The sequence below is a fragment of the Homo sapiens genome, chromosome 2, assembly GCF_000001405.40.
Source record: "Homo sapiens chromosome 2, GRCh38.p14 Primary Assembly".
NCBI lineage: Eukaryota > Metazoa > Chordata > Mammalia > Primates > Hominidae > Homo > Homo sapiens.
Window position 1 is genome coordinate 170,009,748 of NC_000002.12, and position 18,321 is coordinate 170,028,068.

At 34.5% G+C, this 18,321-nt stretch overlaps 1 protein-coding gene across 1 annotated transcript in view, besides 1 other annotated feature; it reads left to right on the top strand.

The window, feature by feature from the left end:
• The window catches only part of UBR3 (ubiquitin protein ligase E3 component n-recognin 3), a 256,678-nt gene that overhangs the window by 182,294 nt on the left and 56,063 nt on the right, over positions 1-18,321 (top strand). The window contains exon 30 of the mRNA NM_172070.4: positions 5,534-5,619. Within this exon, the coding sequence (NP_742067.3) occupies positions 5,534-5,619 (86 nt within the window). The remainder of the gene's footprint in view (positions 1-5,533; positions 5,620-18,321) is intronic.
• Positions 3,350-4,908: an enhancer, noted in NCBI's record as "VISTA enhancer hs1867". NCBI's record gives its function as "enhancer in: midbrain (mesencephalon)[6/8]" and the evidence as "EXISTENCE:transgenic organism evidence [ECO:0001131][PMID:17130149]".

The following is an 18,321-nucleotide window of genomic DNA, read 5'->3' on the forward strand; positions in this document are numbered from 1 at the left end:
ACTTGAGGTCAATACAGCAAGTCTGTGGCAGAGTAGGATCTCTTGAGTCAAGGTTTACTGTTTTTTTCAATTGCTATCTTCCTTTTTCCTCTCCTATGTTTAGCTTTTATAGGTTCTATTATGTATATAGTTGATCATGGCTATTCTCTCTGGTCCACTCCTGGAACAGAGGGTAACAAAAGAGTAAATGAACTATACATAGCCTTTGGAACCCAGGAGAAATGGAACCAGATTTAGAATAATTGCAGCAAGCAAATTAGAGCTCAAGATAAGGAACATTAGTTGGTCTGAGAATGCAAATACTGGACATGGGTTGATGTAAAAGGATTTAATGGATTGGAAAGTAACTTTGTAGTCTATATATTCCTAGCCTCTTGTTTATCTAGAATGTTTTTGGGGAAGACATAACATTTAGTATTTTGTTTCTGGAGAGTTACTAGTTACTACATTCTTGCAATAAAAGACACTATGTGAAAACAAAACAATATAATTTAACTTTGCCAGGGTGCCAAGGTTTTACAGAACTTCCATATGATATTGTGATTATAACATTGTAGACGATTGGGTTGAATATGGATCAACTCAGTTCTGTTATACATATTTATACACAATCACAGACCTACACACATTTATGTTGCTCATTTATTTATGCCTTTAATTTTATTAGAGTTGACCTTTTAAGAAAATCTTTATTGAATGGGAATAATCTGTCATTGGAATTTTCCTGTAGTATGATAAATCAAACAATTTGATTTAAATATAATTTAGTGGAAGTTTTAGATCCTTATTTCTTGGTTTAAGTTTGTAAGTAACTTACAGAAAAAAGCTTGCAGTGATAGTGGGAGACCTTCTGGATCAAGACATTTTGGTTTCTCTATTTTTTAGAGAAGCAGGGACAGATGTCGAATGCTTTACTAAGGTGTAAACGGAGAAACAGAGAAAATATACTTCCCCCATCCTTTTCTGAAACTTAATAAATTCTAAAGCAGCAAAACAATAATTCTGAAAATGAGTGTATATAACACTTTAAAACTTTATTATCTTTTGCTTGGAATTCCCCAAAATATTGCAAAGCTCTTCCAGTGAGGCGGCATTCCTTCTCTAAGTTTTACTTAGTCATTACAAAGAAAACAAAGGCTGGGCATGGTGGCTCACACCATAATCTCAGAACTTGAGAGACCAAGGCAGGAGGATTGCTTGAGACCAGGAGTTTGAGACCCGCCTGGACAACATAGTAAAACCCTATCTCTATGAAAAATAAAAAAAAATTAGCTAGGTTTGGTGGCACACATCTGTAGTCCCAGCTACTTGGGAGGCTGAGATGGGAGGATCCCTTGAGCTACAAGAAATGAGAGGTCAAGGCTATAGTGAGCTGTGATTGAGCGACTGCACTTCAGCTTGGGCAACAGAGCAAAACCCTGTCTAAAGAAATAAAAAATAAGATAAACAAATTGACTCAGAAATTAACAACATATATTGAAGGAAAAAAGTATGTTGTATTTAAATACATTGTAATTTTCTCAAAACAGGAAACCAGGCCTTTTATGCATAACATATAACTTATTTATGCATAACATATAACATTCCTAAAAGGTGAACATTAAAATATTTAGCAATATTTAAATATTTAAGTAGAATATTTAGCAATAAACTTACTTTGAATTAAGTTTTGAATTAAATGTAGTGATTTTTAAATGTATAATTCATTAGAACTTGCACATTTATTTGTATTTAGTATTAGTAACGTGAGTGGAATACAACCCTCATTTCTTAGAGCTGGATTTCTCCCTGCTGAATAAGTAATTTTGTTTGCTCTTCAGAGGGTTTGAATTTTGGATATTTAGAAACAAAGTATTTCTGGTGAGTTTTACAGCTTTTCTTTTTTTTTTTTTTTTTGTAAGACAGTACATGTCTTTTGGTTTTAAATTTTATTTGCATGGTGAAGCCTTGGAGAATTTTCTGAGGGTATCAGAGAAGAAACTGTTGGAAAATCCATTCAAATTTAAAATGATCTAAAAATTAATCAAAATCATTACATTCAAGTTTCAATATATTTCCAAAATTTTCATTTTATTACACATGTCAGTCATCTATACAGATAATGGAAACCAAATTGGGGGGAAGAAGGTTTTCTTTTTTCAATACCAATCATTATTTTGTTCTTGAAACAATGAATGACATGAATTTCAGTAACTGATTTTTCCAAGGATTTTTGGACTCAAGTTTCATATAGTCTAGAGATACTGGTGAGTAGCAGGTGGTTTGTATAGAGAAAAATGGAAAGAAAATGAAACATAAGTAACTGCAATGTAGGTGGAGAGACATCTTTAAATGGTGGGTACTCAATAGAGTGAATGTACCTTCATAGGTTACTTTGTAAACTAATCATGTTCAAAATAAAAGGGACGCTTGCTAAATACCAAATTATGAATCTTTTTAAAAAAACAAAAAATTCTTTCCTAAAACAATCCTTTTTTGGGGCTTGGTGGGGTCAATACTGGGTTTAAGGGAATGGAAGAGTTAGGAAAAGAAAGAAAATAAACTGCAAGGGCTAAAGAGAATCTTATAATTGGTTACATATCAAAAGAAAGATGTTGTCAGTTCCCATTTTTTTTCTTTTTAAGCATCTTATCAGGTACCCTGGGGATTTAGAAGCTATATTTGAAATAGTCCCTGTTCTCCATGAATTTACAGTTTAGTTGGAGAGATGGAACTAATATAACATCAATCTATATAACAGAATATAATTTGTTTTTAAAAATATCATATAGAGAAAGCACTGTAGAACTTCTAAAGGGAAGATGAGCAAATTGAAATATAAAATATGTGTAAGTCCTTCTTTCTGTCCCAGGAAAGCTTCCTGGAGAAGTTAAAAGTTGAATTGCCTCTTGTATAATATAGGCTGTGGTATGGATGAAGATACTGGTTTTTTTTTTTTTTTCCCCCTGAGAAATTGAGTAACTTGCTCAACTACTGAGTGGTAGACTCAGGCCTTGAACCTAGATCTCTTTCCAGAAGCTTTGCCCTTTTCACCAAACCAACGTGTGTTTGAGAATGTGGGGTGTGTAGTGTGTGTACACACGTTTGCTTTTCAAATTATAGTCTAAAATAGAAGTTAGTGTTGAATGGGGGGATTGAGAGGACAGCATACTTTGGTCATGCAAAAAGAAGCTGGAGCATAGTTAGAGGGGTTTTTAATGTGCACATCTAGGTGGCCACTAGGGTAGGCTTTAAACAGTCTTTCTCATCATTCTTTCAAATGTAGAGATTTTCGCCTCTTTTTTTTCTTCCAAACTAATTTGAATGTATTTGTGTTAGAAAATATAGAAAAGAGTCTGCTTTTCTTTGACAGCAAAAAGCTCGGAAAACTTCCACTCCCAGCATATCTTTATTTTTGCATCATTCATTGAGGAGGAAAGAAACATAATATTGCTGTGTGATTTTCAGCAGTCGGACATGGGACATATGACCCATTTGTGTGTTCTTTAGCATGTCTCAAAGGACCAATTTTGACATATATGAAACAAAGAAAAGTTGGTATTTAGAGCCATATTGATTTTTAAAATCCTAGATATTGCTGGATACAGTGGTGTGCGCCTATTCCTGGATACTTGGGAGGCTGAGGCAGGAGGATTGCTTGAGCACAGGAGTTCAAGTGCAACCTGGGCAACACAGCAAGACTTCATCTCTCAAAAAAAATTTTTAAGAAATGTAAAATCCTAGATATTATTACACATTAATCCTTTGGATAGGTAGTTTTTGATTTTTAATTCAGAAAGAATATTGCATAGGAGATCTTCCAGTCATAATCTGGAATAATTAATTAGATTTTACTAGTTTTTTTCGAGAATTCTTTACAATGAAATTCTTAGTAATATGTTTGTCATCCGTTATATTTGGGGATTGAGAAAACAGAATTGTTCTTATATTTATATTTTAATAAATATTTTTGCAAATATGGTGAAATGTTGACATTCTGGTTTTGACATTCATTTGTAAGTATTGTTTGTGTTTCTGGTTAGCTCTCTTAAAAGTACTATCTAGGAAATCTTAGTTTTTATAAGAGAATATAGCCATTAATTTTTTTCTACAGATTAGGCAACAGAAGATTTGTGAAAACAAAATGTATTGATCTCATTTATATTCCCTTGATGAAGGAACACATGCTGGTCTCCGCTCGCTTTCTGTCCACTAGTATGAAATCCTTGTCCCTGCTTCCTTGCTGGTAGGTTTTTAGAAGTTCAGTGAGCAATGCAAATCGCCTGAAGGGTGGAAAATTCCCTTGTCACACAGATGCCCTTATCAGCAGCAACCAGATGGAGCTCTGAGCTGGAACGTTATCGGTGTTAAATTGCTTTTTCTCCCACCCTGAGTAGAGAGGATTAAAGCATTCCTTTAGAAATGGGTGGCAAATGTACAGACTTAGGAATATTAATATTCTTTAACAATTTGCATTTATAAGTAAATACATGGAAATATAATCTCCAAAAAAGTCCATGTTCAAAATTCAGCCAAATCAGTGCAAAATGTTTTGTTTTAAATAAAATAGGATAATAGTCTTTCATGAATTCACTTGCAAAGAGTAAGCTTGAAACTGTTTTTTTTTCTTTTTTTTTTTTTTAAGTGGGAGACAGTATCTCACTATTAGGGTCAAATGCATATTAGGGTCAGTTTTGGTTGTAGAAAATAAAGGTATGTCTAAGTGTATTCATACTGTTGAAGAAAAATACAATTTAAATTATTTCTCAGAGTTGTCATTTATTTTGGCATAATTAATTGGTTCTTTTACTGTTACTGTTTTTGGGTAAATCCTTAGATTCTGCATTAGTTTGATTTTTGAAATGTTGATTTATTAAATATTGCTATTTTGTAAGCTAATAATTGCTAAATACCTTGCAATTTCAGGTCTGTATGAACAGTATTGATGGTTAGCCATATCAGTAGTTACACAGTGTATTTTAATGAAACTAGTTTTAGAAGTCCGTAAGAGAGACTGCTGTTAAATTATATGTGTTGTTCATAGCCATTTCTATATTAGTGATTTTGTTTCTTAATATTGATTTCCAGATACCATCTAACCTCCAATGAATGATAACCATTTCTCTGATAGAAAAATTGGTATGCCTTTGTGTTTTATATGGCAATAACCACCTACACAGTGGCTGACGTTGGAGTAAAAATTCTTTCTTCATATTCATATGCAGGTTTATGAAATATGTTGCAGTTTTTTTTTTTTTCTTAAGGCCTAGTTTTTAGTATGTGCCAAGAGTTGGGACTTTGCAACAATTACACCATGATGTGTGCAATTTTTTGCAGGTGTAAATATGAACATATAAGTAAGGATGGATAAATTGTTCCCTTTGTATTTCTAAATATCAGATAAATATGATTATTACTGATACAACATAAAAACTGCTTTTGCAAAAAATAAAGTTGAAGAACTTTATTTTTTAGGTTGATTCAGACATGTCAATAAAGCAGATTAATAAAGAATCTTCAGTTTAATGACTGAGATATAATGTTTTACTTACAGAACCAATTTAGAACTTGAATTGATTCATCGAGGAGGCAATTTGTGTTCAGGTGGTGCAAGCACAGCTGGCAAAAGGTCTTGTTTAAGTAAGTACTAAATACTGCTAAATTTAAAAAAAATTCTGTCATTTTTGGAAGCATTGACAGGAAAAGTGACATTTTGGTATATTTCAAATTTTGTCTGTTATATATGATCTATTTAGATAGTGATATATACTTTAAATGGCTAATCTTGTACTTGGAAGAATCATATGGATATTTAGCTCTTTCTAGATTATGATTACCTAGCACATAAATGTGATGCTAAGTGACGAGGTTTCAAAATTAAAGCACTGTATGATTCTCAGCTATAAAAAATTGTTCTTAAACTTTAATTCTCTTAAAGAATTTTTACATTGAATTAAGAAAATATTTTTATAAAGACAATATATGTTACCCACAGATTTCTATTATATTATTGCTATTAAGATATTTGTGCTATATTTTGATGTGTATATTAAAATGTATTGAAATTGCACGTTTGCTTTTATTTATATATATACTTTATGTTATAAAATGAGAATAATTCTTCAATCTTGTGTGTAAGGATATATTTGAGAGAAGTGTAATTTGTAATTTAAAGTAGATTTTTCATGAGCATGGCTTTGATGCTATCATTTTTTAGTCATTGTTTAGAGAATTAATGTGCATAGTAGGAATAATATTATTGAATATCAGCATATAGCTGATTATTTGCCCCAGATCACTGAAGTTGAAATATTACCTAATGTGATTGGTGTAGGAAATAAAACTTGTTTAAAACACATAATATATTCTTTTGAAAAATGAATATATATTCTCAAATACTAAAAAATAGTAAGTATTAAAAATTATCAATACATGTTGGTTTTTTAACAAAATATATGTTATTTCAAAAAATATGTAATTTTGAATTGATTCCAAAGCAAAGGGATGATCAAAAGCACTTTAAAATTTCTAACATAAAAGCAAACTTATGTGAAATTTTAACTTGGTTATCTTTAAAGTCTTATAAATTGCAGTAGAATTTGATATTTTCTTTTGGATTGTCACTTTATTCCTAGAACTTAAAATTTTGGAGGTTATTATTTTTATTTTTTAACCGAGTATTAGTAAAAATTGACCCCTTTATGCATTCATCTAAACCCTATTTCTATTCAGTGCTTTACTAGTATGTTTCAAAGGAAGTTGTTGATACATGGGAGTTTTAGTTTCTAATCTGTTTGAATTAATAGATATAATAATCATTTTAGTTATATAAATTATTCCTTCTTGTTAATTTGTTATTAATTGATGTTTGGCATTGGCTGATAATATTCCAGAAACTGTTGTGTTACAAAGTGTTTACTTTAGCGAAGGGTTTTCTGTTTTTAAAAATCTACTTATTTTTTTCTCTGAGGCACTTAAACTTATCTAGAGGCTTGTAAATAATGAATTTATCCAGATTCCTGAAAATAGTAATAAAATTCTAGTGGTAATCACTTTAATTACCAGAGTCAATTTTGTAATTTAAATTGTTAAATTTATACTTTCAGACTTTTGCTTCATTATTTTTCCCTTTACTAAATCAGAAATTATACTGTGCCAATATAGAAAAAGTCATGATAAAGTTTATCCTAAATGTAAGTTAATATTTCTTAGTTTTTGTATAATTTATTATTGTTCAGTTACTTATTTATCCTAATATTAATAAAAGCAGCCTGTAAGTCATATATATATATAGAATATGTTGTATATATGCAAAATCCCACTATCTTACAAGTGTATGAACTTAGTATTTGTTATTTATTCAAATAAAATTCAAACTTAAGTTGTACACCAGGACTTAAATTGATGATGATTCATGGGATCTCACTGCAAATATCTCATTTTTTTCATCTTCCAGTGCAACTTCAGTGGTATTATTAAAAAAAAAAAATCTATCTTTTTTCTAGGGAAATATCTTATTGTATTCATATTTTCCTTTTCCCATTGATTGCTCTTTATTGCTTTTTGAACATCTAATTTTTAATGTTTTTTCTTCCATAATGTTTTTGAGGAGAGTGAGAAAATGCCTCACTGATTAAGCAAATGATAAGGGAACTTTTTTCATTCTAAGAATATCACACTTTTGAAATACTGTTCTGTTACGACTTCTTGATGAAACTGAAAATTTGTCTAGTCAAGAAAACTTTTAATAAATTTTGTCTAGAGAGGATTGCGTAATGCCTGGTATATAATTACGGACACACACACACACACACACACAGACACACACACACACACACACACACACACACACACACAGGGGGAGAAGGGAAGATTGTTCTTTCTACAACAATGAAAGCAAAAAATATTAATGGCCAAATCTCTACTGAGAAATAAAATTGAAATGGAACAATGCCATTCAACTACATCTTCAAACATTTTTAAATAGTTGAGAGTAGTTAACCAGTGTCAATCAAAATAAAAGGTCAGTCCTAAAAATACGTGTCTGGGAAATTTTCCATAGTAAAAAGTTACTCAAATTAGCTCACATAGCAGCATAGTATGGTATTTTAATAATATAATATCCTACATTTGTAGTTTTAAAGTTTGTAAAGTTCTTTCACATAAATTATTTAATCTTTAGAACGACCATGTGAAATAGGTGTTATCTCTTTTTCATAGAAAAGGAATCTCAAGTTCAGAGTGATTGCCTTGCCAAGTCACACAGCTGGAAAATGTCAGAGCTTGCACTTGAGCCCAGCTCTTCTGACTCTAATTCAGTTATATAAGACATATCTCCTGCCCTTAAGTGTCCCAAAGGATGCAGAACTTTTAAGACCTTTCAGCCATTGGTTTAGTCAAAGACACTCTACTGTACAACATTGCCTTGGGATCTTTCCAGGCCCTTCTGTGCTAACTCTCCTATTTATCTTGTCTATTTTCTTTTGTCAGCCTTTCACCGTGAATCCTTTTTTGTTTGTTTGTTTTTGTTTTTGTTTTGAGCCATCTTTTCAGACATTTTTGCAAGTACTGAGTCCTTCTGCCCTGGATACCAGTTAGCTCTTCTTTATTCCTTGCCAGTTTGCTGGCTGGTTCCCCTTGCTCTTGCTATGAGCCATGTGCGTTAGTTCTCACATATAGCATAGCTGCCGATTCCTGGGTCAGAGCTCTAGCCCTCCTCCTTACCCACCAGGGAAGATCAGGCATTCAGGACCATGTATTCAGCACATGATACTGGTTCTAGAGACTGGTTCTCATCTGCTGGACTTGTATTCAGCAGATGAGACTTGTTCCAATGCCATGTCCACCAAAAACTTCGCTGATTCCAGCAGTGAATTTCCTAGAAGTTCTAGGGAATTTAGAGGTTTGTGATCATATCTATCTGCTGGAATCAGTGAAGCTTTTGGTGGACAAGGCATTTGAACAAGACTTTGAAAGATAAGTGAGGTTTAGAGTTTTTGTTACAAATTCGTATATACAGTAAGTACCACCAACTTGGTTAGCAACATATGTTGGAAAAAGCAGATGTAAAAATTAAAGGCATAACTTTTTATTAAAAATATTAAGCTTACTGTATTAATTTCTTCATTAAAGTGATTTGAAAGTAAATATGACACTCCATAAATTCTAGTGAAGTTCACATTCTTTCAGCACATTTTTGGCATGATATTCTCAGTGTATTTCTCAAGTAGAAATTGTTGAAACCATTGGCAATGCCATTTGATAAATTATTAATATTGGAGCATAATATAAAAAATTATTTCATTTGTAGGTAAACGTCTCTTCCTGTCTTTGGGTCTGAGAATTTGTCTGCTTATTACTGTCATTTAACTAAGAAACCACAGTTCATGTCTCAAATGGATTCCATGATTTTATAGAAAGATTAAAAATGAAATGTTAGTCAAGAAGAGGATAAGGCAAACTCTTGCCTTGACATTTTCATTTGGGAAGTTCTGACTTAATTTTGATGTAATCTATGATCTGATCAAGAAATTATGCATAGTCACTGCAGTAAATAATTTCTACCAGATTTGCTTTTCATAGCAAGCAACCCAGCTTAGATCTGTGCAGGCAACTTAAAATAGTTCTACTTGCTCAAAGAGTGAATTTTTGGTGAATTTAAAATTACAGAAAATTAGCCAGGTGCGGTGGCTCACTCATGTGATCCTAGCATTTTGGGAAGCTGAGGTTGGGAGGATCGCTTGAGTCCAAAAGTTGTTAACAGCCTGGGCAACATAGGGAGAACCTCATCTCTAAAAAGAAAAATAAAATTAGCTGGGTGTGGTGGCGTGTGCCTGTGGTCCCAGCTACTCAGGAGATGGAGGTGGGAGGATCGCTTAAGCCCAGAAGGTGGAGGCTGGAGTGAGGCATGATTGTGCCGTTGCACTACAGACTGGGTGACAAAGCAAGATACTGTCTCAAAAAAAAATTATAGAAAATTATTTTGACATTAATTTCTCCCTACAGTTAGGGAGCATAAAGATGTTAAACAAATAATGAGTTTTTACAAAATTACCCTTTTATTGTTGAGAGACAGGTTCTCCCTTTGTCACTCAGCTGGAGTGCAGTGGCACAATCATAGTTCACTGCAGCCTCGAACTCCTGGGCTCAAGCATTCCTTCCACCTCAGCCTCCCGAGTAGCTAGGACAGCAGACACACACCATCAGGCCCGACTAATTTTTTAATACATTTCTTTGTAGAGATGGGGTCTCACTATGTTGACCAGGCTGGTCTCAAGTTTTTGGCATCAAGCAATCCTCCCACCTTGGCCTCCCAAAGTGCTGGGATTATAGGCATGAACCACTATGCCTGGGCTAAAATTACTTTTAAGTAGTCTGGCCTTATTCTTTCACACTTAGTAGTAAAATTCTGACACTGATGGCTTATGAAGGCCTTTTTCAAATTTAAAAATACCAATTTCTGCAAGCAGATTGAACCACAATTTTGTTCAATTTTTTTTGTTACCATAAAAAAGGAAAATTTGGCCATCAAATTATTATAATGGTCAAAAGGTATAAATTAATACAAAAATGTGTAAATTGTCTCCTGAGACTAGTTATTGATCAGATTTGATGGCTAAAAGGTGATTTTGTGGTATTTGGGAATGTTTTATGTTCTGAAGAGCAAGTTGGTATGTATTTAGGGCCAACATGAAAGATACATATGTGGTGGAATAGACAACAGCAAACTAGGATCATAAGCATGTGCTTAGGCAAGACATTTTATGTTTTTGGCTTCAGTTTCCTCATCTATAAAATTAGTGTACTAGGCTGGATGCTCTGTCTCCTGACAGATGTTCATGGTTGTTAACTGTTACATGCAAAGCTCAAATCTGGAGCTTTTCCCCCCTGTTAATTAACATCATTGACATTAAGCATAAAAGGCAAATAGCTGGACTAGGAGTTATACTCTAGGAACTTTTAGAATTATACTTTATCTACAGTCATACACTGTAGAATAAATCAAAGCTTGGAGTTTTTGTTTTTCTTTTCTTTTGATACATCTTACAAATTCAGAAGATTTTGGTATTTTGTTTTATATTTTATTTTGCTCTTCATTTTAAATAGTGCATAAATAAAAAATAGAGGCTGTCAGTGAAATCACATGATAAATAGAATCAGAATCTTTGAGCTAAAAGTTACTTAGGAAATCTCCTAGTCTAAATGTTATCTAGCTCAGGCATCTTGTACCTACTATTCCAATCGTTTGCACTGTGCTTGAACACTTTCAGAGATAAGGAGTACTGTTTGAGATAGGTGAGGAGTTTGGTAAGCCTTTTAAAGGATGGTGATATTAAAAGGCAGCATAGTGTAAACTAGAGAGTGAGATTCTGTTCCTCATTAATACCCAATCAGAGGATTGTTGTAAGAATTCAATTTTATAATATATATTCTAGTTTCTATAGATTGTAAATCTCAACATTAATATTTCTCCTATTTCAACACTATAATTGTCAAATTGGGGGGTGTGTGGATAAGGAGAAGGAGCAAGATAACACTTTTTAGCTCAATTTTTGTCTTAGTCTATAACAATATACCATAGACTGGGTGGCTTATATACAACAGAAATGTATTTCTCACAGATCTGGAGGCTGGGAAGTCTAAGATCAAGGCTCCAGCAGATTTGGTGTCTGGTGAGGGCCTGCTTGCTTCCTCATACATAGCTGTCTTCTCACTGTAACCTCACGTGGTGGAAGGGGCAAGAGATCTCTCTGGGATCTCTTTTATAAGAGCACTAATCCCATTCATGAGGGCTTCCTCGTGACCTAATCACTTCTCAAAGGCCCCACCTCCTTATACTAACCTTGGGGTTAGGACTTCAACATATGAATTTTGGTGGGACATAAACATTCAGTCCATTGCAGTTTTTTTTAAGGGACTTGACAGACTTTCTTTTGACCTCTTCAGAGATGAGATTAGGAGGACAGAATGAGATTTATCCCCATGATAAAGTTTATCTTTTGAGAACAAAATACATTGTTAATTTGGAGAGGTTTAAGAATGTGGCATGAAAATTTAAGTTAGAGGAGTGGCTTTAAATTTTCTTTAAGGCCTTTCTGAAAGTGCCATGATTTGTGACTTAAGTAGCCAGGCCTTTCTGTATTTATAATTTGGGCATTCAAGAACTAAGTACCATAGATAGTAATTTTCACTATCAGGACATAGGAGTCTTTGGATCTTACTTGGCTTAGGGCGAGGCAGCTTCTTTCTTCTGCAGTTAGATAGGACAAACTCTACCCCCATTTTAAACGAGGTGCTTAAATAAGACCTGGATTCATGGAATGTGCCTCTTTAGTAAAGAGGAAGTTAGGAGTCCTAAGAACTGACCTCTCTTCCTAGGACTACCTATATGCAGAAGCAGAATTGTCCTCTCCCTGTCTCTTATCATCCCAAGCTCTGTCGGAAAGCGAAAAGGGGAGGCTTCTAGTCCCTGAAACCTTAAAGTAGAAGGTGAACAATTTGGTGAAGCTAATAATAATACTTGTGGATACTTGGGTTAACCAGAGAATTATGGCATACTGTGCCTGGGAGTGGAGACATAGGAACTCCGGGAGGCAGGAGAGGAACACAACATGGAAAGTATGAAAGTACTCAAGACAGCCTTTTTCTTCACTGTCTTCCCTTCCTCACATGGCAGAAAAAACCTCTCCAAAGGAAGCAACACTTCCCCACTCTATTCCCAAAATCCCATGTGTCCTTGTTGACTGGTGAAAACCTAGCATATAGTGCTGGAAGGAACACCGGGTTGGAGTTTGAAGGCATGGATTCTAGTGTATTTGTTATCTGTTGGACTTTGGGAACCTAACCTAACTTTTTACCTCATTGTGGAAGTGAGGATGATGGTACTTATACTGACTATCTGATATATCCATCATAGTTAATGTAATGATCAAATAGTATTAGATATATGAGCTAAAGTATCTTACATAATATGTTATTATATATAATAATAATTATTAAACTTGTCTTTTAACTCTTTAAAATTCTACCATAACTGCCACTTGATTCTCTGCCCTGCCTTGCCTGGAGTGCTTAGGAATGGGATAGGGAGAGATGAGTCAGCTCCTGTCATCCATGGCATCAACCTTCTGTCTCTTGGGAACCAGATCTACAGATGTTCCCTTCTTCTTGGACCTGTTCCCAGACCTCATTTAAAGAGCTCTTTCCCATCTCTTCATGGCTGATTTCTCAGGGACATACAGAGGAACCAGTGGAAGCTGGCTTTGATGTGAGAGGTGTATACTCACACCTATTACATTCACCTTAGGATAAGTAGGTCAGAACCATTTCCTCACTTTGATTATTCAGTTGCAGAGAAAGGGAGATTTTTTTCTCCACCCCCATGATATTTCAGAGTCATTTGGCTAGTTGAGTTTTTTTTTTTTTTTTAAGGGACAGGGTCTTGCTTTGTTACCCACGCTGGCCTCAAACTCCTGGGCTCAAATAATCCTCCCATCTCAGCCTTCTGAGTAGCTGGGACTACAGGTATGTGTCACCTTGCCTGGCTGAGGTTTTTTCCATTGACAGTGATTTAACCATTGATGACTAGACTGATAAGACTGAAGTCTTGAATACAGACCCAGTTAAGTTTACTTTAGGTGCATTTTAACAGTGGTACGATTTAAGATAGAACCAATTTATGAAAATTTTTTTTTTTTTTTTGAGACGGAGTCTCACTCTGTTGCCCAGGCTGGAGTGCAGTGGTAACATGTCGGCTCACAGCAACCTCTGTCTCCTGGGTTCAAGCAATTCTCCTGCCTCAGCCTCCAAAGTAGCTGGGATTACAGGCACCCACCACCACACCCAGCTAATTTTTGTTTTTGCTTTGTTTTGTTTTGTTTTTTTGAGACGGAGTCTTGCTCTGTCACCCAGGCTGGAGTCCAGTGGTACGGTCTTAGCTCACTGCAACCTCTGTCTCCCGGATTCAAGCGATTCTCCTGCCTCAGCCTCCCGAGTAGCTGGGATTACAGGCACCTGCCACTACACCTGGCTAATTTTTGTATTTTTAGTAGAGATGGGGTTTCACCGTCTTGAACTCCTGAACTCGTGATCCACCCACCTCGGCCTCCCAAAGTGCTGGGATTACAGGCGTAAGCCATTGTGCCCGGCCTAATTTTTGTATTTTTTAGTAGAGAAAAGGTTTCACCATGTTGGTCTCGATCTCCTGACCTCATGATCCACCCACCTTGGCCTCCCAAAGTGCTGGGATTACAGGCATGAGCCACCGCGCCTGGCAGAAAGTCTTTGGGATAACTCTTTAATGTCTTTATATCTTAATGATCAGTATGAGTATAGTAAGAAATAACCTACCAGTTTTAGATTTCTTGCATGTTTAGAAATAACTGACAGAGGGCTGAGGTGGGCAGATTACGAGGTCAGGAGATCGAGACCATCCTGGGTAACAACCTGAAACCCCGTCTCTACTAAAAATACAAAAAATTAGCCTGGTGTGGTGGTGGGAGCCTGTAATCCCAGCTACTGGGGAGGCTGAGGCAGGAGAATTGCTTGAATCCGGGAGCTGGAGTTTGCAGTGAGCTGAGATTGCGCCATTGTCCTCCATCTTGGGCGACAGTGCGAGACTCCATCTCAAAAAAAAAAAAAAAAAAAAAAGAGAAAAGAAATAACTGACAGAGGTACACAGTTTCCGGGATGGTACTGGAACATCTGTTTCAAAAGCATTTTTGAAAGATTTCAACATATGGTAACTTTGGGTTTAGTTTCTTTAAGTGGATATTCCTGAGGTCATAAAAATTGGCATAATGGTATCTGTGTGCATGTGTGTGTGTGTGGTATTCATACACATACATGTGAAACTCATATAATAAATTTGGAGTTATATTTTTATTTTATAGAGTTTTTTTATGTAAAATAGTCTTACCTTAATGTTGATAAAGGTAGAGGGATTTCTTAAACCTTACTTTTTGGTTCTAGCTAGGAGTACTTATAATTAAGTCTTAGATTTTCCTAAGGACAAACTGGTCTTTCAGTGTTGTTTTCTCAGTTTCAGTAATGATGTGTCTGTCTTGTGATGAAGCACATTATAATACTTTAGACTTGTCACAGTTGTAAAGAATTTGATTAGATTTTGCAGAAAATAGAATTTATCCCAGGTGAGTTGTCGCATGGGAACCAGCATGGGAAGAAGATGGTAGGAGCAAATAGGTCAAGCACTGCTTTAGTAGTTAGAGTTGGGGGTCAGTCTCTTTTGGGGAAGTGAAAGTAGGGCTGATTAATTGGCCTGCTTCTTGGTAACTGAACCAATGTGTCATTGCAACAGAAAGGGAAAAGTAGAAAACCATCATGAATTTTATGCTTATATTTATGATTTTTTCATAGAATTGTAGATATATAATGCTCAGACTACTTTTAAAAATCCTATTATATGTCAAGCAGTTGTGCTAGCCTAGGGGGTACAAAAATGTAAAGACACAATTGTCTTCTTCAGGGAGATCTGACCATCCAATGAGAGAGGAAAACATGAAAAATAATTACAAGACTGTGTAAGAGATGCTAAAATTGAAATAGATAGCACAAGGTATGGAGAATGCATAAAGTAAGGGGATAATCTGATCTTTCTGAGGTATCAGAGAGAACCTTACAGAGCAGCACATGAACTGGCTCTTGAAAGATGAACTGAGTTGGCCTGAAGGACAAAATGATACTATTCTAGGCTGAGAGAACAGCTTGCAAAGACATGAGACGACATGACACGTTGGGGAATACTTGGAAAGAAAAGAAGGAAGGTTAAGAAATAAACCTGAAAAAGAAAATGGACTAGCTCATAAAGGGCTTTCTATGCCTGTTCCTTCAGTGGTTCAGCAATCAATTATGAGATATTGTGAACAGATTTATTGATTAGATGGATTGGAAGGGGTGAACCAAAAGGCATACTGCTGAGTGAGCATTCTGTTGAGCAATTTAGGTGGAAAACAGTGTAGTGGCAGAGTGGTCCAGAATAGGATGGATCATAAGAGGCAGAACCAATGGGATTGGTGGAGGGCAAGGCTGTAGGAGATGACTCCCGAGTTTTTCCTTGGTTGTTTGCATGGGTAGTGGTGTCATTCACTCAAATAGCAATTATAAAAGGAAATTCACTCAAGTAAGAGTGTCATTCACTCAAATAGGAATTTTAAAAGGAAATTAACATTGGAGCTGGGCTGGGCTGTATAATCAGGTTAGTCTGGGTGTATTGATTTTGAGGTGCCTGTTGAACATCTGAAGTACCAGAGAGCCTTGTGAATTGTGAACTTAGAGGTAGAAGTGGGCTTGGGTAAAGTAGTGTGTGCAGAATGAGAGGGAAAGAGGACTAATAAAGGATGGCTTTTCCTTTTTTTTAATGAGAAATGTCACCTTTTAGGGTTCATTAGCAGAAGAAGGGCACATAAAAGTAACTGAGAAGGAACCAGAGGAAAGCCAGGAGAGAGTGGTACCAAAAATTAAGGAAAGAAGAGAGAAGAGAGTTAAGAATATATGTTAATATGTGTTTGTAGAGTGATGGTTTTATGTGGAGATCTTATGTTTCCAATGTATAATAATCTATAATTTTAGTTGTAATATCTAGTTTTAGTTGTAAAGTTTATAAATATTAAATTTATTTCATATTTGTACAAACCATGTATGTATCTGCCTGTATGTAAGCCCAACTTACAAACATACTATAGATTTATTCTATGATTATAACTATTATTACTATATAATAGACCAGAAAGATGACATTATATTTATTTTATGGACTGTAAAACTAAGGTTAGGTAATTTGTTTAAAGACACATGGCTAGTACAGACTTGGATTGAATCCAGGACTTCCTGGCTCCTCCCAGACAGTGGTGCTTCCTATACATAGATTGAAATCACAGCACGCTTATAAATGAATTTAAAGGTATTTCTCTTTTCCAAATCTTTTTATATATGTGGACCAAACTTTAGAATTTTAAAATGTGTTATACTAGGAAAGGAGTTATCCTTTTTTGTTATTGTTACTCAAAATTTTAATATGCTTTCGTGATATAATTATTTTCCAACTTTTTATATGTCATGCATGCAGTTGGTAGTTAATACATTTTTTAACTTTTGATTATGATTATAGATTCTCTTCATCCTACGTCTTTAATATTCATCTGGTATAAGACGTATTTTTGCTGCTAAATGAATATTAGAGTTCAGTCTTACTGATAAGACTAAACTTTCAAAACAATGAATAAATAACAATAAATAATGAATTTTATTAACAAATTGAAGTTGTTAAAATGGTTATTTGGTCAGTTCCCTGAGACAGAGAGAGAAGGAATCTTGTACTTTTATTTTAATCATAAACCCCCCAAAAAGTGGAGTGGTAGAAATAACTAAGAGGTGGCAAATCTTGAATCCTATTCTTAGCTTTTAGAATAACTATTAAGAGTGAGCTGGCAATATTAAATTTATTTCATATTTGTACAAACCATATATGTATCTGCCCGTATGTAAGCCCAACTTACATACTATAGATTTATTCTATAACTATTATTACTATATAATAGACCAGAAAGATGATATAATATCATTTAAATATCATTTAAAGATGATATAATATCATCTTTCTGGTCTATTATATAGTAATGGTACTTCCTTTCTCTGGACATATTTTCTTATCTATAGAATGAGGAAATGATGAAAAACTTTTCTACTAACATTTTGAAAGTCTTAAATTATGATAGGGATTAGGAAAATAGGTGAATGTAACATTATTTTCTGTGCTGGCTGTGGTTTCAATGCAAAACAGGTTAGTACAATTGCAGCTTCTATGCTTTTGATTAAATTAGGGAAACTAAGATGATCCACCTTCATCTTGGTAGGAGATATTAAAATGAGCCCTTTGATCAAGTTAATACCTATATAAAAAGAATGCAGAACTCCTCACCGTGCAGCTTGAGATAATCTTAGTATTTTTCTGTGAGAAGAATTTAGTTTTTTAAACACTTTTAGGTTTTAGTCATTAAAACACTCATTAAAAGTATAAATTATATGCTTAGTAGTCTCATATGTATAATTGAATTGAAATAAAAGAAAATTTACCAATCTTTAGTCATGTTTTTCCTCTGCTAAAACTTCCCTTGTTCTCAGTATCATCTACGAAACCAGGCTACCATAAAAACTGGAAATTTGGGAAACTTAACTTGCCTCAAAAGTGAGGGTTAATAATATTACCCGCCTAGTAGAATTTTTGTGAAAATTAATTGAGATTATCAATCAATGTAACATAATGCCTGGCACGTAATAAGTAACTAAGTCAGTAATAGAATGAAGAAATTTAAGGAAGATGTAGGC